At 45.2% G+C, this 25,551-nt stretch overlaps 1 protein-coding gene across 37 annotated transcripts in view, besides 1 other annotated feature; it reads left to right on the plus strand.

The window, feature by feature from the left end:
* The window catches only part of SLC5A11 (solute carrier family 5 member 11), a 65,664-nt gene that overhangs the window by 37,123 nt on the left and 2,990 nt on the right, over positions 1 to 25,551 (plus strand). For 20 of the 37 annotated variants that reach the window (NR_172075.1, NR_172077.1, XM_011545725.3 and 17 more), the window contains 6 exons: positions 966 to 1,046; positions 7,784 to 7,989; positions 14,889 to 15,024; positions 23,572 to 23,679; positions 23,940 to 24,090; positions 24,878 to 25,046. Coding sequence is in view for 27 of the 37 variants with exons in the window: in XM_011545725.3 (XP_011544027.2) it covers positions 966 to 1,046; positions 7,784 to 7,989; positions 14,889 to 15,024; positions 23,572 to 23,679; positions 23,940 to 24,090; positions 24,878 to 25,046 (851 nt within the window). In the remaining 10 variants the exon portion in view is untranslated. Of the gene's footprint in view, positions 1 to 965; positions 1,047 to 7,783; positions 7,990 to 14,888; positions 15,025 to 23,571; positions 23,680 to 23,939; positions 24,091 to 24,877; positions 25,047 to 25,551 lie in introns of those variants that run through there. The other 17 variants (NR_147938.2, NR_147935.2, NR_147939.2 and 14 more) reach the window with 6 other exon arrangements.
* Positions 23,364 to 23,864: an enhancer, noted in NCBI's record as "H3K4me1 hESC enhancer chr16:24917770-24918270 (GRCh37/hg19 assembly coordinates)". NCBI's record gives its function as "activates a minimal SCP1, AML or CMV promoter by ChIP-STARR-seq in naive H9 embryonic stem cells {active_cell/tissue: H9 hESC(naive)}" and the evidence as "EXISTENCE:reporter gene assay evidence [ECO:0000049][PMID:30033119]".

Raw genomic sequence — 25,551 nt, forward strand, 5'->3', positions numbered from 1 at the left:
TGGGTGTAGTTGCTTACACCCGTAATCCCAGCACCTTGGGAGGCCGAGGCAGGAGGACTGTTTGAAGCCAGGAGTTCGGGCCCACCCTGGGCAACATAGCAAGACTCCATCTCTAGAGAAAAGTTAAAAATTAGCCAGGCATGGTGGCTCATGCTTATAGTCCTAGCTACTTGGGGGACTGAGACAGGACAATCACTTGGGCCCAGGAAGTCTAGGCTGCAGTGAGCTATGATCACGCCACTACACTCCAGCCTGGGTTGACAGAGTGAGACCCTGGCTCTAAAAAATAAATAAATAAATAATAAATAACTAAAGGTGTTCAGAGCTTGGGGACTGTGGCCTAAGCACCACTTCCTATATCAGTTGAAAATTGCTGTGTTAAAAAACCACCCACAAATTGAGGGGCTTGAAAAATCAATGGTTTATTATTCCCCACAAGTCCATGGGTTCCTGGGTGGATATTTGCTAGTCTAACCTGGCTCTGCGAATTATAGTTCGGTGTTAGGTGGAGCAACTGGCTGGAAGAGGATGGCCTCACTCACATGGCTGGTGTTAGCTTGGGCTGTCGACTGGGCTTCCCCTCCGTGGGGGCCCTCTTCCTTCACTAGGTTAGACCTGGCTTCTTAAAGCAAATGGTCTCAGGGCAACAGGAGAGTAAGTGCAGAAGCTGCAGGGCTCCTTGAGGCCCATACCACTTCCCCCACATTCTATTGGTCAAAGCAAGTCACGTGGCCAAGCCCATGTGAGAAGCGGAGAAATCAACTTCACCTCAACGTGAAAGGAGCAGCAAAGTCACATTGCAAAATGGGCGTGCACACAGGGAGGAGTGATCGTGGCCATCTTTGCAATCAGTCAGCACTAAGAAATCTCCCATCGGGTCCTGGCCTTCCAGGTTCCCTTGGTGACCCAGAGTAACCCCTTCTCGTTAGACTCCCTGACCCTCACCTCCGTGCTCATCCCACCAGGTGGCCTGGCTGCTGTGATCTACACGGATGCCCTGCAGACGCTGATCATGCTTATAGGAGCGCTCACCTTGATGGGCTACAGTAAGTGGGGTCCCCGGGTCACTGGGGCGGACAACAGCACCTCTCTCCAGCAGGGATATCTGCTCTCCACACTGTGAACGGCAAACCTAGCTGTCAAAGAGCATACTACTGGGGAATTTTTTGTCACAGGTGCTTTGCTTGAGGCACGGTTATTTTAGCTAGAAGAGAAATGTGCTTATTGTGGAAACTTACTGTTTTTGTTTTTGTTTTTTGTTCTGAGGCAGGATCTTGCTCTGTCAGTCAGGCTGGAGTGCAGTGCTGTGATGATTGCTCACTGCAGCCTTGAGCCCCTGGGCTCAAGTGACTCTCTCACCTCAGCCTCCTGAGTAGCTGGGACTACAGACATAGGCCACTATGTCGAGCTAATTGCTTTTTTATTTTGTTTTTTTTTTTTTTTTTTGTAGAGATAGAGTCTCACTATGTTGCCCAGGCTGATCTCAAACTCCTGGCCTCAAGTGATTCTCCTGCCTCAGCCTCCCCAAGCTGCCCCACCTGGCACTGTTTTTTTTTTTTTCAAGTAAAAATCTCTTTCTATACTAATATGGAAAAATAACTGAATGAATAAATAAAAGAATGTGAAGAGACAGCTTTTCCTTACAGAGGTTTTTGTTGTTGTTTGTTTGTTTCGAGACAGGGTATCACTCTGCCACCCAGGCTGAAGTGCAGTGACACAGTCTTGGCTCACTGCAACCTCTGCCTCCTGGGCTCAAGCAATCCTCCCGCCTCAGCCTCCCAAGTAGCTGGGCCCACAGGTGTGCACCACCATCCCTGGCTAATTTTTTTCATTTTTTTAAATAGATGGGGTTTCGTCATGTTGCCCAGGCTGGTTTCAAACACCTGGGCTCAAGCAATCACCTGCCTCGGCCTCCCAAAGTGCTGAAATTACAAGCGTGAGCCACTGCATCCAGCCCAGAAGCTTTAAACTCTAGCACTAGCCCACACCTAGACTTTAGCATTTCATTTCAAAATATTCGCCCAATTCTTCGTACCAGCTTGTGTGGTGATCCTGTCTTTGTTTTGCTGCCAACGGTCATGTCTCTTTGGAGGCTCCTGTGTTTTCTGAGATCTCAGGCCAGTTGGTTGCTCTATGGCCTCAGCTCTCTGATAGGTTCAGGGGAAGTTATTTTGTTGATTAGCCAACTTCTTATTATTGTTAAGCGGGGGACACTACTCTCCACAGGTTTCTATCTTTTAGAGGTAAGCCACTCATTAAGCCTTAAAGACTACAACAAAGGCCGAGTGTGGTGGCTCACACCTGTAATCCCAGCACTTTGGGAGGCCAAAGCAAGAGGATCGCTTGAGCTCAGGAGTTTGAGACCAGCCTGAGCAACATAGTGAGACTGTCTCTACAAAAAATAAACATAAACTTACCCAGGTTTGGTGGCATGTGCCTGTAGTCCCAGCTACCTGACAGGCTGAGGTGGGAGGATGGCTTGAGCCTGGCAGGTTGAGTCTGCGGTGAGCTGAGATTGTGCCACTGCACTCCGGCCTGGTCTCGCTTTGAGACAGAGTGAGACCCTGTCTCAAAAAAAAAAAAAAAAAAAAAAAAAGGCTATGAAAACTAATATAGAAAACACAGAAAAGCGAAAGGGATCAAAATCCTGAAAGATGGCAGAATATAGTGCTGAAAATTATATATTTTAGGACTCAGAAGAAAATATCAAGAGAGTGCCATGCTTGGAATCCTGAACTCTATGAAACATGTATGAAAGATAGAAGTAGAGGACAAACTGAGGTGAAGGGAGAATAGAAGCGGATAAAAAGGAAAAAGATTACAGAAGATTACAATACATTTTCTAAAATTTTCTAAAAAAATTAGCAGAATTAAACTCCCCACAGGTGGATGTAAAGAGCAGAACAAACGCTAAAGAAAATCAAACCCAGGATGAAAACAAATAGGAGTTCTTTTTTTTTTTTTTTTGAGATGAAGTCTCGCTCTGTCACCCAGGCTGGAGTGCAGTGGCATGATCTTGGCTCACTGCAACCTCCACCTCCCGGGTTCAAGCGATTCTCCTGCCTCAGCCTCCCAAGTAGCTGGGACTACGGACACACGCCACCATGCCCAGCTAATTTTTGTATTTTTAGTAGGGACGGGGTTTCACCATCTTCACCAGGATGGTCTCCATCTCTTGACCTCATCTTCTGCCCGCCTTGGCCTCCCAAAGTGCTGGGATTATAGGCATGAGCCACCACGCCCGGCTGAAAACAAACAGGAGTTCTAATAAAATGCAGAGAAAAGGGATAAATAATAAAATTATAAAAGAAAAGATGACAAATATAGAAGATAGAGAGCAGAGATATACCATTTGAGAAATGTTTATTCTTTTTCTTTCTTTCTGTTTTTGCTTTTTGAGAAATGTTTATTCTTAGAAAAAAGGTCAGAAAAAAATGGAACAAAGTAAATAATTAAAGTAATCACAAAAGAAAACTTTTCTTAGAAGGAGGATGATATATCTAGCTAGGTGTGAAGGGTTTGCTGTGTCTTAGGCAAAATCGATGAACAAGATCTCCAGGTAGAAGAAGCATTATGAAAAAAATGTGAAGTATAAGAATACTTTTTAAATACTAAAGAATACAGACAGAGAGGTGGGAAGATCATTTGAGGCCAGTAGCTTGAAACCAGCCTGGACAACAAAGCAAGACCCCACTCTATGAAAAATGGAAAATTAGCTGGATGTGGTGGTGCACACCTGTGGTCTCAGGTGGGGACTGGAGGATCAGGGAGGTTAAGGAGGTTGAGGCAGGAGGATCACTTGAGTCCAGGTGCTCGAGGCTGCAGTGAGCTATTATTGCACCACTGCACCCCAGCCTGGGTGACAGGGTGAGACTCTGTATATAAGAAAAAAAGAATCCAGACAGAAAAAATGTAGTGAGCTAAAAATAATAAACAAACTGGTCTCATTCCCCTCCTTCATAACAATAAAATGCCAAAAGACAGTGGAGCAAGGGCTACAGATGTGTTTTATGGGAAAAGTTGTATCCTAAGTAAGGATCAGATACCAGCCAAGTTCTCTGTTTGCCAGGGCTGCAGAAATATTCTGAACCATGCAAAGACTTAGTAAAGGGAGGACCTATGTGCCTGTCTTGAAGGTACAAGACAGAAACAAAACAAAATCGAGAGTTGGTATTATGACTAAAGAGAAAATGGTAGTAAATAATGATCCAGTTAAAATCATTACAGATCTGAAAAAATTGTGTGGTCAAGGCAAACGTTACATAAAGAATATAACAATTTAATAAAAATTGGATCTAAAGCCCCCTATTTTACTAACAAAAACTTTAAAATGTTGGGAGAGATAGTATGCTAGATTTCCCATCAAATAGGAAGAAAAACATCATGAAGAAGAAATACTGAACTCCAAGCAGACACTCATATAAATCTCACCCTTTATGTAGGAAATATGTGTGCATATAAGTTTTTTTTTCCTAAAAGAGAATAACAAGAAATCACAACCAAAGGGAAAGAATAAAAGAGAATGCAAAGTAATAGTAAAAATATCAGTTATTACAATACAAGTACATGGAATAAAATTCCCTATTGAAAGACAAGGCTTCTTATAAGCAGTTACAATCTGTGTGGCTGTTTGTTCTGTTTTTCTCTTCCTTAGCTATATATTATTTATTTTCTCAACAAAACTCAAGATTTATATTTTGGGTTAAGAAAATGTAACTTGATATAATTTGCAAGTGGCACATATAAAACAAAGTATAACATAAGGCAAAAAGCGATAAACGGGGGATAAGTAATTTTATATTGAAAATAGAAAATTCATAATAAAGAGATAATCTTTGCTTATTAAATAACATTGCAACAAGATACACAAAGCAGAAGCTGTTATAGGTTGACAGAAACCAAAACAGTACTAAAATAGTTTAACAGAACAAGAACATAATAAGGATTTAGAAGATATAAATTCTACAAATGAATAAGCGTTCTCCTATCATGAATGTATCTTTTTCCAGCATTCATGGAATCACCCGCAAAAATTAATCATTGAAAAAAATTTTTTACAAAAATATGTATAAAAGCGTTGTTCAGATTATATTATCTTACTCATATACACCCCAAAAATTAAACTCATTAGGAAAAGTGTAAATTTTTAAAAAATCTAGTTACTTAGAAATTTAATAGCCATCTTCTAAATAGTGCCTGGGTCACAAAGGAAGTAAAAGCTGCAATTACAGACTATGCAGAGAAAAATGAGAACATTACATTTCATACTTAATACAGTCAAAGCTGTACCTCTATCAAAACATTTATATTCATAAATATGAAAGCCCAATTTAGTGATTTAGAAAAAAGAAGATGACATTATGGGTTACTCCAGTTACTCCAGTATCTATTTCTTTTTTTTTTTTTTTTTTTTTTTTGAGATGGACTCTTGCTCTGTCACCAAGCTAGAGTACAGTGGCACAATCTCAGCTCACTGCAACCTCCACCTCTTGGGTTCAAGTGATTCTCCTGCCTCAGCCTCCCAAGTAGCTGGGACTACAGGCTCGCGCCACCACATCCAGCTTATTTTTGTATTTTTAGTAGAGATGGGGTTTCACCATGTTGGCCAGGCTGGTCTCAAACTCCTGACCTCAGGCGATCTGCCCACTTTGGCCTCCCAAAGTGCTGGGATTACAGGTGTGAGCCACCGTGCCTGTCCTTTTTTTTTTTTTTTTTTTTTTTTTTTTTCTGAGACGGAGTCTGGCTCTGTTGCCCAGGCTGGCATGCAGTGGTGTGATCTTGGCTCACTGCAACCTCCACCTCCCGGGTTCAAGCAATTCTCCTGCCTCAGCCTCCTGAGTAACTGGGACTACAGGCATGCATCACCATGCCTGGTTAATTTTTCTATTTTTAGTAGAGACAGGGTTTCCCCATGTGGGCCAGGCTGGTCTTGAATTCCTGACCTAAGGTGATGCACCCGCGTTGGCCTCCCAAAGTGCTGGGATTACAGGCGTGAGCCACCTGGCCCGGCCCAATATCTATTTCTTTGAAAAGAACCATAAAATGCAGCTGCAAATCAAACCAAGAAAAAAAGAGAAAACAGCATAATTAAGAATGAGAAAAGAAACAAAATATAAGCCATATGCGGTGGCTCATGCCTGTAATCCTAGAACTTTGGGAGGCTGAGGCAGGAGAATTGCTTGAGCCTAGGAGTTCGAGACCAGCCTGGGCAACATAGTGAGATCCATCTCTACAAAAAACTTTAAAAGTCACTGGATGTGGTGGTACATGCCTGTAGTCTTAACTACTCTGGAGGTTGAGGCAGGAGGATAGCTTGAGCCCAGGAGTTCAAGGTTACAGTGAGCTATGATTGTAGCACTACACTCCAGCCTGGGTGACAGAGTGAGACCCTGTCTCTAAGAACAAAACAAAACAACAAAACCTGAAACCATTATTAGACCTACTACAAGGTCTTACAATTTTTTTTTTTTTTTTTTTTTTTTTTTGAGATGGAGTCTCGCTCTGTCACGCAGGCTGGAATGCAGTGGCGCAATCTTGCCTCACTGCAACCTCTACCTCCAGGAGACGTTCTCCTGCCTCAACCTCCTGAGCAGCTGGGATTACAGGCACCCACCACCACGCCTGGCTAATTTTTGTATTTTTAGTAGAGACAGGGTTTCACCATGTGGGCCAGGTTGGTCTCGAACTCCTGACCTCAGGCGATTCGCCCACCTCGGCCTCCCAAAGTGCTAGTATTACAGGTGTGAGCCACTGTGCCTGGCCAGTCTTACAATTTAATGGAGCAAATAAATAAATTACTATGTCACATTTTTAATATTTTGATGGTTCAATATATTTGATTTCTTTGCAATCCTATGTATTTTTGCATTATTTAGAAGTATTCTTCTGAGAAGCAATTGTAGGAGCGAAGGGAAGACTGGAAATCTCACTGGAAAATCAACCCACAAGAGGCAGATTAATAGAAGAAAAGGCATACAAATTTATTAGCACACACAGGGGAGAATTACAGAGGGATTTCTCAATATCCTAATGTCATACAGATGTTTCTATACCGCACTTCTTAAGGAAAAAGGAGATGGACAAGTGTAGATGATTTTAGGGAGGTAGTAAATTATTTTTGGGAGAATTCAATGGGCTTAAATAACATACAATGGCATGGGACAATGGCCAGGAGTATCACTTGAGGTCAGGAGTTCGAGACCAGCCTGGCCAACGTGGTGAAACCCCATCTCTACTAAAAGTACAAAAATTGGCCAGGCATGGTGGCACATGCCTGTAATCCCAGCTACTCAGGAGGCTGAAGCAGGAGAATCGTTTGAACCTGGGAGGCGGAGGTGGCAGTGAGCCAAGATCATGCTACTACACTCCAGCCTTGGTGACAGAGCAAGACTTCATATCAAAAAAAAAAAAAAAAAAAAAAAAAAAAAAAAGAAGGAAGGAAGGAAAGAAAGGAAGGAAGAAAGAAAGAAAGAAAAAAGAAACTTGGATAGATACATTCATTACTTTGTGACGGAGGTTTCATGGGTGAATACTTATGTCAAACACCAAATTTTACATTTTACATATTTGTAATTTATGGTTAGGTCAATTATAGTCCAATAAAACTCTAATATTAATTTTTTTAAGTTAAAAAAATGTGGGGAGGAGGTTAAGAACCCTTAAGGGGATTAACATTTTTGGTGGCTCTGGTCCTACTAGAATTTCACCAGTCTCCAGCCATCTCCTCATCACTTGCCATGGACCAATCTGAGTTCCCGGAAAATAGGCTTCCTCTGAATTCTAGGTTTCGCCGCGGTTGGTGGGATGGAAGGACTGAAGGAGAAGTACTTCTTGGCCCTGGCTAGCAACCGGAGTGAGAACAGCAGCTGCGGGCTGCCCCGGGAAGATGCCTTCCATATTTTCCGAGATCCGCTGACATCTGATCTCCCGTGGCCGGGGGTCCTATTTGGAATGTCCATCCCATCCCTCTGGTACTGGTGCACGGATCAGGTACAGGACAGTGGCCTGAGCAAGTTTTTCCTTCTCTTTGCTTCTTTCCTTAGGGTGGCTGAAGTCGGTGCTTTTTTCTTCCTCCATCTCTTCTCTCATTTGCGTTTTCCCTGCTTCCTTGACTACTTCCTCCTTTCCATTGCTCTACATGCTATTTTATTTCTTCCTCTGTGAATGGGAATGACAAATCCAAAGCTGCTGATATTTGCAAAGGGGAAAACTCAACACACTCTGCCTTTTTTTTTTTTTTTTTTTTCTGAGACAGGGTCTCACTCTATCACCCAGGCTGGAAGGCAGAGGCACGATCATAGCTCACAGCAGCCTTCATCTCCTGGGCTCAAGAGATCCTCCCATGTCAGCCTCCTGAGTAGCTGGGACTACAGGCACATGCCACCATGCCCAGCTATTTATTATTATTATTATTTTTTAGTAGAGATGCAGGTCTCACTACACTGACCAGGCTGCTCTCAGGCTCCTGAGTTCAAGTGATCCTCCCGCCTCAGCCTCCCAAAGTGCTGGGATTATAGGTGTGATCCACTGCAGCTGGCCTAATACACTTTGCTTAATGTATGAGAATATCCAGTAAGCAAAGGAGATGATACCTTTTAAATGGGGGTAAAACTCCTATTGGACATCATTTGTTCAACAAATACACACTGGGTGTCCTCTACGTACCAGGCACTCTTCTGGGCACTTAAAATCAGGAGCTAATAAATCAAACAAAGCTCTCTGCCCTTGTGGAGCTTCCCTTCTTCTAATGGGAGTAGACGGAGATAATAAGTAAATTATGTGAGATGTTAAAGTTTGATAAATATCATTTTAAAAAGTAGAGTGAGGTCAAGGAGATTGAGAGTGTGGGAGTGCAATTTAAAATGGGGTGACAGGTGGCTCACACACTTTAGGATGCTGAGGCAGGAGGCTCACTTGAGCCCAGGAGTTTGAGACCAACCTGGGCAACATAGTGAGACCATCTCTAAAAAAAAAAAAAAAAAAAAAGTAAAAATTAGCCAGGCACGGTGGTGTGCAGCTGGAGTCCCAGCTACTTGGGAGGCTGAGGTGGGAGGATTGCTGGAACCCAGGAGGTCAAAGCTGCAGTGAGTTGAGATTGCACCACTGCACTTCAGCCTGGGCAACAGGCTTGAGACAGTAAGATCCTGTCTCAAATAATGTAGGGTGCTGAGGGGAGGTATCATTCAGAAGTGACCTTTGACCAAAGACTTTGTAGAAGAGCGAGAGCTTCCTGTGATTTTTGGAGGAAGAGTTTGCAGCAGAAGGAACACCCAGAGCGAGGCAGATACATAACTGGTGTGAAAAAAGAAAGGAAAAAAATCAGAAAGCAGATCCATGTGTACAAGAAGTCCTTTTGTGTTAAAAAAAAAAAAAAAGGAGAATAGAATCAATATTTGCATTTGCTTATATGTCCATAAACTCTGGATGGATGTATACAAAACTAAGAAGAGTGGATACCTGTGGGCAGGGAGGCAGGGCGGGTGGGAAGGATGAATGAGAGCCGATTTACTGCATGTTATATTTTCTCGGGTTTTAAACTGAGTGAATATATCACGTGTTCAAATATTATTTTTCTGGTACATGAAACATCAGAGATCAATGTACCACTTGGGGAGTTATACTGCATAGTGAGGGCTGATGACAGTTTAATTAAAGCAATAATCATGGCATTGGACATTGATTTGATGCAGGAGACTTCAGAGAATGAAACCCAGGTCTCATCCATAGGCCAGCCCTCCTTTGAGCGGAGAGCTAAGGACCAAGGCAGTGATGAGAGCAATGCACATGTACTGCCCCATTAAGAGAGAGACCCCCTTCTCCTCCTTAGCACATCTCAGGTAGGAGAGACCTTGAGAAACAGGACTGATCCGGGCTAACATCATGGGCTTTAAATTTAACAGACCTGGCTGGGTGCGGTGGCTCATGCCTGTAATCCCAACACTTTGAGAGGTCAAGGCGGGTGGATCACCTGAAGTCAGGAGTTTGAGACCAGCCTGGCCAACATGGCAAAACCCTGTCTCTACTAAAAATACAAAAAAAAAAAAAAAAAAAAAAAAAGCCAGGTGTGGTGGCAGGCACCTGTAATCCCAGCTACTCAGGAGGCTGAGGCAAGAGAATCACTTGAACCCGGGAGGTGGAGTTTGCAGTGAGCCGAGATCATGCCATTGCACTCCAGCCTGGGCAGCAAAGTGAGACTCCATCTCAAAAAATTAATTAATTAATTAATTAATTATGCCGGGCACAGTGACTCATGCCTGTAATTCCAGCCTGGGCAACAGCAACACTCTGTCTCAAAAACAAACAAAACGAAACAAAAAAAGACAGTTGACCCATTCTGCCACCAGGAAAAAGCCGTTTGTAAAAACCAGCCAGAGACAATTTCACCTGCCCAGGTATTCCCCCAAGACCATCTTCCTCCTTCCTTTATTGAACCAATGTTTACTGTTTTCAGGTTTCTGAACTTCTTTTTTATTATTTTTATTATTTATTATTATTTTTAGTTTTGAGACAGAGTCTCGCTCTGTTGCCCAGGCTGGAGTAAAGTAGTGCAATCTCGGCTCACTGCAACCTCTGCCTCCTGGGTTCCGGCAATTCTCATGCCTCAGCCTCCTGAGTAGCTGGGACTATAGGCGTGCACCACTATGCCCAGCTAATTTTTGGTATTTTTTGTAGAGATAGGGTTTCGCTATGTTGGCCAGGCTAGTCTTGAACTCCTGACCTCAAGTGATCCACCCACCTCGGCCTCCCAAACTGCTGGGATTACAGGCGTGAGCCACTGCACCCAGCCAGATTTCTGAACTTCTGACCTACAGCTCTCTGATCCAGTTTCCACTATCTAATCCTACTCTCATCTATTTCTATTTCGTTGACCTGTTGGAACTTCTTTCTCTGGTTTCATCTAACAATAGCAGTGATGATGACAATGCCAATAATCACAACTGCTCTCTTTGCTAAAGAGCTGCTAGACACCTGAAAAGCAAGCACAGTTATCATCCCCATTTTACAGATGAGAGAGCTGAGCCTGGAAAGGTTAAGGAACTCATCCAAACTCACAAAGAGCTGGTGGGGGGATTCACACCTAAGTCCGTCTGCACTTTAAATCGCTCCATTGACTCATTGCACCACACCTATTGGATGCTCTCAATTCTGGGAACCCACCCCCAGCTGCATTTCTGTGCAGATGCCTGCTCCCTGGTCACCATGCTCCACCATGACAGCTCTCCCTCCTCCTTTCCCACCCCAAGGAAGGGAAAATTTATACATGATTAATGTGGAAAAAGCAAGGAAAGATAAGGTGGCTAGATGACAGATGCCATAACAGATGGCTGACATAGCTAATCATGGCCCCTCCTCCCCACATATTCAGGTTGCATTTTCATTCCTCTTAGCTCACTTTTTCCCCTGCAACTGAGATGTTTCTTACTAAGAACCACTTGGCTGGGCACAGTGGTTCACGCCTGTAATCCCAGCACTTTGGGAGGCTGAGGCGGGCGGATCACGAGGTCAGGAGATCAAGACCATCCTGGCTAACACAGTGAAACCCCGTCTCTACTAAAAATACAAAAAATTAATTGGGCATGGTGGTGGGCACCTGTAGTCCCAGCTACTTGGAAGGCTGAGGCAAGAGAATAGCTGAACCCGGGAGGCGGAGCTTGCAGTGAACCCGGATCGCGCCACTGCACTCCAGCCTGGGTGACAGAGCGAGACTCCGTCCCAAAAAACAAACAAACAAACAAACAAAAAGGAACCACTTGGCTGGGCACAGTGGCTCACACCTGTAATCCCCGCACTTTGGGAGGCTGTGAGAAGACGATTGCTTGAGCCCAGGGATTTGAAACCAGTGGGTAACATAGCGAGACCTCATCTCTACAAAAAAATTTAAAAAATATTAATAGCTGGGTGTGGTGGTGTATGCCTGTGGTCCCAGCTACTTGGGATGCTGAGGTGGGAGGATCACTTTAGCTCTGGAGTTCAAGGCTGCAGTCAGCCATGATTGCACCACTGCACTCCAATCTGGGTGATAGAGTGAGATCCTGCCTCAGAAAAAAAGAAAGAAAGAAAAAAAAAAGAACCATCCGACTACTCTCCCTTTTAGGATCTGATGGTTACAGAAAACAGACCCGGCTGGGTGTGGCAGCTCATGCCTGTAATCCCGGCAAGTTAGGAGGCTGAGGTGGGTGGATCACTTAAGGTCAGGAGTTTGAGACCAGCCTGGCCAACATGGTGAAACCCCATCTCTACTAAAAATACAAAAATTAGCCGGGCATGGTGGCAGGATCCTGTAATCCCAGCTACTTGGGAGGCTGAGGCAGGAGAATTGCTTGAACCCAGGAGGTGGAGGCTGCAGTGAGCAGAGATCCCAGCACTGTACTCCAACCTGGATGACAAAGCAAGACTCCATCTCAAAAAAGAAAGGAAAAGAAAAGAAAAAAAAGTAGGAAAGGAGAGGAGAGGAAAGAAGAAAGGAGAGGACAGGAGAGGGGAGGGGAAGGGAGGGAAGGGAAAAGGAGGGGAGGGGAGGGGAAGGTGGGGGAGGGAAGGGACCCCTCAGTTGGACAGCCAGCTTGTGACCGGAGCTTTTTTGAATTCTGACCGGCTGAATGTGCTGTGTCCAGTGGGCATGAGTACCTGTCCTTGAAACGTGTCCACCAAGCCCGGTTTGTGTCACTGCTAATGCAGTTAGGTCATTAACAAAAACTGCATATTTCACACTGTCCTTGAGCACATTGATGCCTTCGGGCAACTGTCTCTGACAAGGTACAGTCCCATGGACTCTGCAGATGAAATACCGCCCAAGGTGACATCTCTCTCCCCATCAAAATGTGCTGTGAAATCTAAATTATTGGGGCTGTGGTATGGGGTTTGCAGCAAGTCTTAACCTCACTACACTCTTCTCATTAAGGGTTCTTTGATGATTTAGTGAGGACTCATTTAGTTGTTTATGTGGAAAAAATTGTTTAAGGATAAAAAGGCTCTTTTTTTTTTTTTTCTGGGCGTGGTGGCTCACGCCTATAATCACAGCACTTTGGGAGGCTGAGGCAGGAGGGTTGTTTGACATCAGGAGTTGGAGACCAGCCTGGGCAACATAGTGAGAGTCTGTCTCTACAAAAAATAAAATTAAACATAAAATGTAGCCAAGTGTGGTGACATTGCTACTTAGGAGGCTGAGGCAGGAGAATTGTTTGAGGCCAGGGGTTCAAGACCAGCCTCCTCAATATAGCAATATAGCAAGACCCCATCTCTAAATAAAAATTTTAAAAATTAGCTTGACATGGTTGTTCATGCCTGTTGTCTCAGCTACTTGAAAGACTGAGGCAGGAGGATCATTTGAGCCCAGGACTTTGGGGCTACAGTGAGCTGTGATCACATCATTGCATTTCAGCCTGGGCAACAGAGTGAGACCCCATCTCTTAAAAAAAAAAGGCATTTTAAAAAATTTACATGATGGGGAGTCCAGAGGTGGCTAATGGCAATGGAAGCAACTAATATTTATGAAGCAGTTACTATGTGTCATATTCTAAGTATTCTAAGTACTTTCACTTCTCTAATTGTCAAAACTGGGCTGGTACTATGCTCATTTCATAGATGAGGAATCAGAGGCCAAGAGAGGTGAAGTTGCTTGCCCAAGGTCAGATAGGCGGGAAGTGGGGAGGTAGTATTTGAACCCAGACTGCCTGTCTCTGATACTACATCATCACACATTGCCTTTCTCTCCATTTCCTGGTTTTCTTTCCTCTGTGATGACTTAGTTTCAAAGAGGCCTTCCCATATCATGGCAGAGATGCAGCCAGCAGCTCTACACTACCTTCACAGTTAGGAATTGCGAAGGAGGCACCAGGAGTTAGACAACCTCCTTCCTTTTTTTTTTTTTTTTTTTTTTTTTTTTGAGACAGAGTCTCACTCTATCGCCCAGGCTGAAGTGCAGTGGTGCGATCTTGGCTCACTGCACCCTCCACCTCCCGGGTTCAAGTGATTCTCCTGTCTCAGCCTCCCAAGTAGCTGGGATTACAAGTGTGCGCCAATGCACCCAGCTAATTTTTGTATTTTTTTATAGAGATAGAGTTTCACCATGTTGGCCAGGCTGGTCTTGAACTCCTGGGCCCAAGCAATCCTCCTGCTTTGGCCTCCCAAAGTGCTGGGATTACAAGCGTGAGCCATTGCACCCAGCCTCCTTTGCCTTTTTAAGGAAGAAGTTCCATGGAGAGCTGTGGTTGGATTGCCTTGGGGACATGCTTTTCCTTCATGGATCATAGTAGCCAGAGAGGTGAAATAATTCTGTGGAGGACTCTAATTGGCAAGGCGTAACCCCTGGATAAAAGAGTAAGGAGGGAATGGGGTGGGTGTCTAAACTACCTGAATTAGACCACAGGGACTGAGCATAGGAAAGAGATGTTTCTTCAAACAGAAGCTTGGCAAACCAAGATCCTAAGTCTCCTACAACTACCAAGAGGCTACACACCCCGTTTGCCTTAAGAGAAAGCCTTCTAATACAGTCTGTTCTCACACTGCTGATAAAGACATACTGAGACTGAGTAATTTATAAAGAGGTTGAATGGACTCACAGTTCCACATGGCTGGGGAGGCCTCACAATCATGGCAGAAGGCAAAGAGGAGCAAGTCACGTCTTACATGGATGGCAGCAGGCAAAGAGAGAATGAGAGCCAAGTGAAAGGGGTTTCCCCTTATAAAACCATCAGATCTCATGAGACATATTCACTACCATGAGAACAGTATGGAGGAAACTGCCCCCATGATTCAGTTATCTCCCACTGACTCCCTCCCACAACATGTGGGAATTATGGGAGCTACAATTCAAGATGAGATTTGGGTGGGGACACAACCAAACTATATCAGCATTCCCAGTTTCCAACCCCCTTGATCTTTTCCAGGTGATTGTCCAGCGGACTCTGGCTGCCAAGAACCTGTCCCATGCCAAAGGAGGTGCTCTGATGGCTGCATACCTGAAGGTGCTGCCCCTCTTCATAATGGTGTTCCCTGGGATGGTCAGCCGCATCCTCTTCCCAGGTGAGAACACAGCTGGGGGAAGAGGTCATTGGTATGTGAGTCTCAGACCATGTGAATTATTCTAAACATATTATTAGAAGCCTCAAGAGAATGTGACTACAGTCCTTTCTCTCTTTTTCTAAGACAGAGTCTCATTCTGTCATTCAGGTTGGAGTGCAGTGGTATGGTCATAGCTCACTGTAACCTTGAACTACTGGGCTTGAGCAATCCTCCCACCTCAGCCTCCTGAGTAGCTGGGGCTACAGGTATGCACCATGATGCCTGGCTAATTTTTTGAAAAAATAGAGATGCTGTCTTGCTATGTTGCTCAGGCTGGTCTTGAACTCCTGGCCTCAAGCTATCCTCCTGCCTTGGCCTCTCAAAGTGCTGAGATTGCAGGTGTGAGCCAACATGCCCAGTCCTTTTTTTTTTTTTGCATTTTTTTTTTGAGACGGAGTCTTGCACTGTCGCCCAGGCTGGAGTGCAGTGGCACGATCTTGGCTCACTGCAAGCTCTGCCTCCTGGGTTCACGCCATTCTCCTGCCTCAGCCTCCTGAGTAGCTGGGACTACAGGTGCCCGTCACCATGCCCAGCTAATTTTTTGCACTTTTAGTAGAGACAGGGTTTCACCATGTTAGCCAGGATGGTCTCGATCTCCTGACCTCGTGATCCACCCACCTTGGCCTCCCAAAGTGCTGGGATTACAGGCGTAAGCCACCATGCCTGGCCTTTTTTGCATTTTTTTAAAGACAGGGTCTCACTTTGTCACCTAGGCTGGAGTACAGTGACATGATCATAGCTCACTGCAGCCTCAGACTTCTGGGCTGAAGGGATCCTTTCGCCTCAGCCTCCCAAGTAGCTGAGACTACAGGCATGCACTACCACACCTGGCTATTTTTCAAAAGTTTTTGTAAAGACAGGGTCTCACTATGTTACCCAGGCTGATCTCAAACTCCAGGCCTCAAGCGATCCTCCTGCCTTGACCTCCCTAAATTCTGGGATTACAGGCATGAGCCACCATGCCTGGCCATAGAGTCCTTTCCTAGTGATGAGACTGAGGCATCTCTGTCTAGGCATCTAGTGACTCTATGCTGTTTCTCAACATTGGTTCAATGGGCAAGTCCTATAGGTATCCCAGGCCAAATTGAGTGGAGACTCAACTGGGATCTTGCCTCAACTATATTTTTTTGAAACCAACTAGGCTAAGGTCTTGTGGTTCCAGAGCAGTTCTCTGAAGTCTCATGTGAAAGTTTGTCCCTTACTTTAGTGTTTGAGCTCAGTGGTTGGGTTGGGTAACTTTGGCCCAGTGAAATCCTTTTTGGATTTTTTTTTTTTTGACAGAGTCTCACTCTGTTGCCAGGCTGGAGTGCAGTGGCACAATCTCAGCTCACTGCAACCTCTGCCTCTTGGGTTCAAGTGATTCTCATGCCTCAGCCTCCCAAGTAGCTGGGACTACAGGCATGCACCACCATGCCCGGCTAATTTTTGTATTTTTAGCAGAGATGGGGTTTCACCATGTTGGCCAGGATGGTCTCGATCTCTTGACCTTGTGATCCTCCCACCTTGGCCTCCCAAAGTGTTGGGATTACAGGCGTGAGCCACCACAGCTGGCCTGCGGTACTTTTTCTTTTTTTTAGGTGGGTCTCACTCTGTCACCCAGGCTGGAGTGCAGTGGCATGATTATAGCTCACTGCAGCCTGGAGCTCTCAGGCTCAAGCAATTCTCCCACCTCAGTCTCCTTAGTAGCTGGACTACGGGTGCCCACCACCATGCCCAGCTGATTTTTATAATTTTTGTAGCTATGGGGGTCTCACTGTGTTGCCCAGGCTAGTCTTGAACTCCTGGGCTCAAGCAGTCCACCCACTTCAGCCTCCCAAAGTGCTGGGATTACGGTGTGAGCCATTGTGCCCAGCTGGGTGTACTTTTCTTAACAAATCTCATGGGATATCGAGGCCTCTAGAGCATTTGCTTTAGTTTTTTTCTTAATGTGGTAAGGGAATAGGTTTATACCATGGGGATAAATGATACCGAGGAGGGGCAATGTCACCAGAAGACACTGTGGTGTCAGAAACTGGTGATCTATACAGAAGAAAGCTCCTCTCTTTTCCCCTGAAACAGTGAGCTTTCCAGTGTACTCACCAAGGATGTTATTAACTAAAGGGGATGGAAAGCAGAAAGTTTCCTCCCCTGTGCCTTATCCTACATAATGTTACACAGAAGCTAAGAAAGGGTAGGATGAAGTGGTTTGTAGTTGGCTCAGAAGCTTAGTCAAAATAATTTAGGACCCTTAAGAAGCAGGAGAAAAGAGATGGGGAAGGCAAATGGGGGCACTGTCCATGGTGCTAGACCTTGAACCCTTGTGTTCCTCCAGCCCTGGTGGGATGAGGAACCCACAAATAGTCCCTAGTCCTGCTTCCAGGAAAGGGCAAAAGCCTTGGGAAGATCCAGAGGGAGTTAAGAACTGGGATCTGGGTTTTGCAGTGATTTGGAAAATATACAGCTGTTCAGCAAGTCTTGACATAGGAACACAGAAATAGCTTCAGGCCAGGTGCAGTGGCTCACGCCTGTAATCCCAGCACTTTGGCAGGCTGAGGCAGGAGGATCTCTTGAGGCCAAGAGTTCAAGACCATCGTGGGTAACGATACCAGACCCGCTCTCTACCAAAAACAATTTTTAAAAATTAGCCAGGTGTGGTGGTGCTCACCTGTGGTTCCAGCTACTTGGGAAACTGAGGCAGGAGAATTGCTTGAGCCCAGGAGGTTGAGGCTGCAGTGAGCTATTATTACACCACTGCATTCTAGCCTGGACAACATAGCAAGACCCTATCTCTAAAAAAAAAAAAAAAAAAAAAGGAAAGAATATGGCTTCAAACAACCACATTCATTGTGCACTTGCTAAGGGTCAGTCCCTATGAAAAGAGCTTCAGAGTGGAGTGTGGATATGAATATGGATTCTGATCTGGAAGGCCCAGGCCTGAATTTGCTCTGCCGCTTATGAGGTGTTTGAACTTGCATAAGCCATTTAATGTCTCTTTGCTTCGTTTCCTCACTTGTAAAATGGGGGTAATATTTTACAAGGCTTAAAGCAGCTCCTGGCACACAGTAAGCTCTATCCAAGTGTTTACTATTATTATTTTATACATGTATTACCTCATTTCATCCTCAAAACAACCTTATATGGTAGGTACTATTATACTTTTCATCTTACAGATGAGGAAATTGAAGCTTAGAGAAATTATTCATTTGGCCAGGAGCAATGGCTCACACCTATAATCCCAGAAATTTGGGAGGCCAAGGCAGGCAGATCGCTCGAGCTCAGCAGTTTGAGACCAGCCTGGGCAACGTGATGAAACCTCGTATCTACAAAAAATACAAAAATTAGCCAGGCATGGTGGCATGTGCTTATAGTCCCAGCTACTTGGGAGGCTGAGGTGGGAGGATCGCTTGAGCCTGGGAGGTTGAGGCTGCAGTGAGCCATGATCAGTGCACTCCAGCCTGGGTGACAAAGTGAGACCTTGTTTAAAAAAAATCATTCATTCACTCATTTATTTATTCTTCCATGAATTCAACAAATATTTTGAGAGCCAATTATCTTCCAAGCGTTATTCTAGAACACTCTGGGGGCCCATAAGTGAACAAGACTACAGGATCCTTGCTGTAGAGGGACTTACATCCTAGTGGTGGAGGACAAAGACAGAAATAAGTAAATAAATAAGGCCAGGTGCAGTGGCTCACGCCTGTAATCCCAGCTCTTTGGGAGGCCAAGGCAGGAAGATCGCTTGAGCCCAGGAGTTTGAGACCAGCCTGGGCAACATGGCAAGATCCCATCTCTGGAAAAAAAAATACACACACACACACACACACACACACGCACACACACACACACACACACACATATATAGTAGTCCCAGCTACTCAGGAGGCTGAAGTGGGAGAATCACTTGAGCCTGGGAGGTCGAGGCTGCAGTGAGCTGTGTTCGAGCCACTGCATTCCAGACTGGGTGACAAAGTGAGACTGTGTCTCAGAAAAGAGTAAAAACATAAATAATTTTTGACTGTGCTAAATGCCAGGAGGAGGATGCACAAGGAGATATCAAAAAGAATGTCAGATCAGAGCTACTTCTGACAAGGTTTCCCGGGAAGTCCTTTCTGAGGAGGCAACAGTTGACCCATGCAATGGTTTGAAAGTACATCATAGAGCCAATCAGATTAATAATGGATTGAATGTAAAGGTTAAGGGGGAAAAAAAAAAGGAATCCAGGATCACTCCTAAGCTAAGTGACTTTCTGGGAGTTACTGAGCTAGTGCCAGATGAGCCAGGATTTGAATCCAGATGTAGCTGATTCTAAAACTTGACTCTTGTTTATGCAAATTATGCCTGAAGACCTGGGTTGATATATGGAAGATCAATAACAAGACCTTGACCATCTGTCTTAACAACCAATCAGCCAATCAAGTCTTTTTTTTTTTTTTTTTTGAGACGGTGTTTTGCTCATGTTGCCCAGGCTGGAGTGCAATGGTGCGATCTCCACTCACTGCAACCTCTGCCTCCTGGGTTGAAGCGATTCTCCTGCCTCAGCCTCCTGGGATTACAGGCATGCGCCACCAACCCCGGTTAATTTCATATTTTTAGTAGAGATGGGGTTTCTCCGTGTTGGTCAGGCTGGTCTCAAACTCTTGACCTCAGGTGATCTGCCCATCTCGGCCTCCCAAAGTGTCGGAATTACAGGCGTGGGCCACCGTGTCCAGCCAACAGTCATTATTAAATGAGACATAACACCATGTTCCATGAACCTAGGACTTTGTAATGTAGCAGATGAGTCTCATACTCATGGAAAAATAACATAAACTATATATTGAAATACTCTATCATATGATACAAGCAAGAGGTGCAAAATAAATTTTAGAGAGTAAGGTGAATTAGAGAGAGTGAAGTGGGCATTGTGTATTTGAAGTCTCTCTCCCTTCTCTGGAGGCCCAGACCAGTGCTTTTCAGAGTGTGGTCCCCAGCCCAGCAGTGGCTCCTGGGAACTTGTTAGAAGTGCAAACTTTCAGTCCCGATTCAAAACCTTCTGAATCAGAATCCCTGGAGGGACATCTGTTTTTTTTTTTTCTCTTATTATTTTTAACTAATTATTTTAATACAAATTGTACATACTTATAAGGTGCAGTGTGATATTTTGATACATTATACAATGTGTAATGACCACATCAGTGTAATTAGCTTATCTATCACCTCAAATATTTATCATTTCTTTGTGTTGGGGGCAATCAAAATCCACTCTCGACTATTTGAAAATGTACAATAAATTGTTGTGAATTATAGTCACCCTATAGTGCTATAGAACACTACACATTATTCCTCCTGTCTAGCTGTACTTTTCTATCCATTTACCAACCTTTGGCTACCCTCCTCCCCACTACCCTTCCCAGCCTCTAGAAACCACTATCCTACTGTCTACTTCCATGAGCTCAACTTTTCAAGCTTCCACATATGAGTGAGAGTATGCAGTATTTATCTTTCTGTGCCTGGCTTATTTCACTTAACATAATATTCTCCAAGTTCATCCACGTTGCCATGAATGAATATGAAAAAGAATTTCATTCTTTTTTATGGCTAAATAGTAGTCCACTCTGTATGTATATGTACCACATTTTCTTTACCCATTCATCTGTTGACAGACACTGAGGTTGATTCCATATGTTGGCTATTGTGAAGAGTGTTGCAATAAATGGGGTGCAGGTATCCATTTGCTATATTGATTCCAATTGCTTTGGATATGTATTAATCCATTTTCACACTGCTATGAAGATATTACCTGAGACTGGGTAATTTATAAAGGAAAGAGGTTTAATTGATTCACAGTTCCACATGGTTGGAGAGGCCTCAGGAAACTTACAGTCATGGTGGAAGGCGAAGGGGAAGCAAGGACCTTCTTCACATGGTGGCAGGAGAGAGAAGTCCAAGCTCAGAAAATGCCAGACGTTTATAAAACCATCAGATCTCATGAGAACTCACTCACTATCATGAGTACACAAGGGGGAACCACCCCCATGATCCGATCACCTCCCTCCCTCGACATGGGGGGATTACAGTTCCCTCCCTTGACATGTGGAGATTACAATTGGAGATGAGATTTGGGTGGGGACACAGAGCCAAGCCATATCAGGATATATGCCCAGTAGCAAAATTGCTGGATCATATGGTAGTTCTATTTTCAGTTTTTTGAGGAACCTCCATAGTTTTCCATACTAGCTGTAGTAATTTACATCTCCACCAACAATGTATAAGAGTTTCCCCTTCTTCACATCTTCACCAGCATTTATTATGTTTTGTCTTTTTGATGATCCCCATTCTAACTAGGGTGAGATGATATCTCATGAGGTTTTGATTTGCATTTCCTTGATGATTAGTGATGTTAAGCATTTTTTCCTGTCTGTGCCAGCCACCTATTTTTTTAACAAGTCCACTAGAAGGTTGAGAACCCCAGGTCTAAAGGGCCAGTTTCAGGGCCAAGCACTCTGCCTCCCTATTTGCACTTCTCTCTCCACCACGGCTCCACTGGCTCCCTCCTAAATCTTCAACGGAGTCCACAGCTGCCTAAAAGTATTTTCTGATCCTGAGTTCTTGTGAGCCTGGAAAAAAACCCTCTTCTGCTAAGTCCATCTGAGAAATGGCACATATTTTTATTTTTTCATTAAACTTTAAGTTCTGGGATACATGTGCAGAACGTGCAGCTTTGTTACATAGGTATACATGTGCCATGGTGGTTTGCTGCACCAATCAACCTGTCATCTAGGTTTTAAGCTCCACGTGCATTAGGTATTTGTCCTAATGCTCTCCCTCCCCTTGCCCTCCACCCCCCGACAGGCCCCAGTGTGTGATGTTCCCCTCCTTGTGTCCATGTGTTCTTATTGTTCAACTCCCACTTATGAGTGAGAACATGTGGTGTTTGGTTTTCTGTTCCTGTGTTAGTTTGCTGGGAATGATGGTTTCCAGCTTCATCCATGAGAAATGGCACATATTTTTAAATAAACTATATGGAAATTAAGAGAGAAGCAAAACAACCCTCAAAACACAATCCCAGCACTTTGGGAAGCCAAGGCGGGAGGAACACTTGAGGCCAGGAGGTCAAGACCAGCCTGGGCAACATGATGGAACCCCGTCTCTACTAAAAATACAAAAAAAAAAAAAAAAAAAAAAAAAAACCTGGGTGTGGTGGCACGCCTATAATACCAGCTACAGGCTAGGAGGCTTAGGCAGGAGAATCGCTTGAACCTGGAAGAGGAAGTTGCAGTGAGCCGAGATTGTGCCACGCACTCCAGTCTGGGCGACAGAGTGAGACTCCATCTCAAGAAAAAATAAAAATAAAAATAAAAAAATTAATTAAAGAAAAAGAAATTAGCTGGGTGTGATGGTACATGCCTGTAATTCCAGCTACTTGGGAGGCTGGAGCCTGTGAGGCTAGGGTTGCAGTGAGCCAAGATGGCACCACTGAACTCCAGCCTGGGCGACAGAGCAAGACCCCATCTCAAAAACACGCGCGCGCGCGCACACACACACACACACACACACACACACACACACACACACACAGAGTTTAGAAATGCAGTATTTACAGAGCCAATCTTCTCTACCTGAGCTTTGAAATAAACTAAGGGTTTGCCTCCTGGCCATAATACTTACTAGCAATATAATCTGGAGAAACTAACCTCTGGGCCTCAGTTTATCTGTCTTTGAAATAGGGATAATAACAGTATCTTCCCCCATAGAGTTGTGAAAATTAAATGAGGTGTATGTACAAAGCTTACTGCAGCTCCTGAGTCATAGTAAACCTTCAGTTAATGTTGGGTTTGTGGAAGAAGAAGGTTTTGTGCTATGTTTGGATTTAACTGGGCTAGAGGCATCTTATTTCAGGCATCAGAGGGTGTGAAGCATTCTGACAAGAGAATCTACGTATAGGAAATGATTCATTAACCAGGACAGGTGAGCAGATGTTACTGAACAGTGAGTTAATGATCATGGACGGATCACTTGAGGTCAGGAGTTCGAGACCAGCCTGGCCAACATGGCAAAACCCCATCTCTACTAAAAATACAAAAATTAGCCGGGCATGGTGGTGGGTGCCTGTAATCCCAGCTTCTCGGGAGGCTGAGGCAGGAGAATCACTTGAACCTGGGAAGCAGAGGTTGCAGTGAGCTGAGATCGTGCCACTGCCCTCCAGCCTGGGCGACAGAGCAAGAGGCTCCGTCTCAAAAAAAAAAAAAAAAAAGACATTATTGTAAGATTGGCCACTAGGTGTCCCAGCTTCATCTGGGTTACGATAACAATAGCTGAATTTTTTCCAGCACTTCCTATAAAGTCGTGTTATTATCCTAGTTTTACAAATAGGGCAACTCGTCTCAGAAAGCGTAAGTAACAAGGTCACAGCTTATAAAGTCTAGACTCTTTTTTATTTCATTGAGCTATAAACTTCCATATGATAAGCCTGTGTCCGGCCCCATGTTGCCTGGGCCTGGGGCTCTGGGGGCCTGACTGCTCACCTCTGGGCCTGTGTTTCCTTCGTAGATCAAGTGGCCTGTGCAGATCCAGAGATCTGCCAGAAGATCTGCAGCAACCCCTCAGGCTGTTCGGACATCGCGTATCCCAAACTCGTGCTGGAACTCCTGCCCACAGGTAATGTCCCTTCACTCCTGAATCAAGTCCCCTGGAGCACCCAGAAAGGAGATCACCGGATGGGCTCTGATCCAAGGCAGGGTCAAGAAAGGAGGGCTGGTGGGGGAGGAAGACTCTGGGCTCCCCAAGAAAGGCTACGTCCTGCAGGAAGCTCTGCCCCGCCGTCCTCCCTGAGGTTCTGCCTCCTCCAGTTGAGCCCACTGGGATCGGCTGCTTTGGCAGAAAAGGACCGAGGCCCATGACCTCCCTTCCGCCCCCAGGGCTCCGTGGGCTGATGATGGCTGTGATGGTGGCGGCTCTCATGTCCTCCCTCACCTCCATCTTTAACAGTGCCAGCACCATCTTCACCATGGACCTCTGGAATCACCTCCGGCCTCGGGCATCTGAGAAGGAGCTCATGATTGTGGGCAGGTAAGTCCCCACTGGGTGGGGCTGGGGCAGGGGGAAGAGAGAGCTGAGCCCACCCAGAGGCAAAGTCCAGGTTCAGCCAGCAACCTATCCAGGCTGAAGAGCATTAGGACTCCATGTGCAAGACATTCATTCATTCAGGAGATGCTGAACGAGCACCTACTGTGTACCAGGCACAGGGCACATAACCATGAAAGGGCTCAGTTCTTGCCTTCATGGAGCCAGGGAAGGAGGAGAATAAGCAAATAATTTTAACCCAGCTGGGCGAGGTGGCTCACACCTGTAATCACAGTACTTTGGGAGGCCGAGGCGGTGGATCACTTGAGGTCAGGTGTTCAAGACCAGGCTGGCCAACATGGTGAAACCTCATCTCTACTAAAAATACAAAAATTAGCTGTGGTGGCGTGTGCCTGTAATCCCAGCTACTCAGGTGGCTGAGGCAGGAGAATCGTTTGAACCCAGGAGGCAGAGGTTGCAGTGAGCCAAGATGACGCACTGCACTCCCGCCTGGGTGACAGAGTGAGACTCTGTCTCAAAAAAAAAAATTAAAATAATAAAATAAAATAAGCTGGGAGTGTTGGCATGTGTCTGTAATCCCACCTATTCGGGAGGCTGAGGCAGGAGGATCACTTGAGCCCAGGAGTTGGAGGCTGCAGTGAGCTATGCTCTCACCACTGCACCCCGGCCTTGGCAACAGAACAAGACCCTGTCTATTAAAAGAGACAGAGAGAGGGAAAGAGGAGTAAATGTTCAGATGATGCTAATTTGTGCCTCTCGCCGCCGGCACCAGGGTGTTTGTGCTGCTGCTGGTCCTGGTCTCCATCCTCTGGATCCCTGTGGTCCAGGCCAGCCAGGGCGGCCAGCTCTTCATCTATATCCAGTCCATCAGCTCCTACCTGCAGCCGCCTGTGGCGGTGGTCTTCATCATGGGATGTTTCTGGAAGAGGACCAATGAAAAGGTAGCTCTGGATGGCTCCCACTATGCCAGAACCAAGTGCTGCCCCTTGAGGACTGGGATAGGATGGGAGGGGAGGGTGTTGGAGGGAGACACAGGCTGGAATTGGGTGTTGAGAGGGAGGGTGAGTTCCATTGGTGGAAGATACAGGGAGGGTGTTTATCTGACCTTTGCAAAAAAGCAATGAGAGGGCTGCTGCGATGGCTCACACCTGTAATCCCAGCACTTTGGGAGGCCGAGGTGGGTGGATCACTTGAGGTCAGGAGTTTGAGACCAGCCTGGCCAACATGGTGAAAGCCCATCATTACTCAAAATACAAAAATTAGCCGGGTGTGGTGGTGGGCGCCTGTAATCCCAGCTACTCAGATGCTGAGGCAGGAGAATCACTGGAACCTGGGGGGCAGAGGTTGCAGTGAGCTGAGACCACGCCACTGCACTCCAGCCTGGGCGACAGAGTGAGACTGTCTCAAAAAAAAAAAAAAAAAAAAAGCAATGAGAGGTTCTCATGA

Source organism: Homo sapiens, chromosome 16, assembly GCF_000001405.40.
Source record: "Homo sapiens chromosome 16, GRCh38.p14 Primary Assembly".
In the NCBI taxonomy this organism is placed as follows: Eukaryota; Metazoa; Chordata; class Mammalia; order Primates; family Hominidae; genus Homo; species Homo sapiens.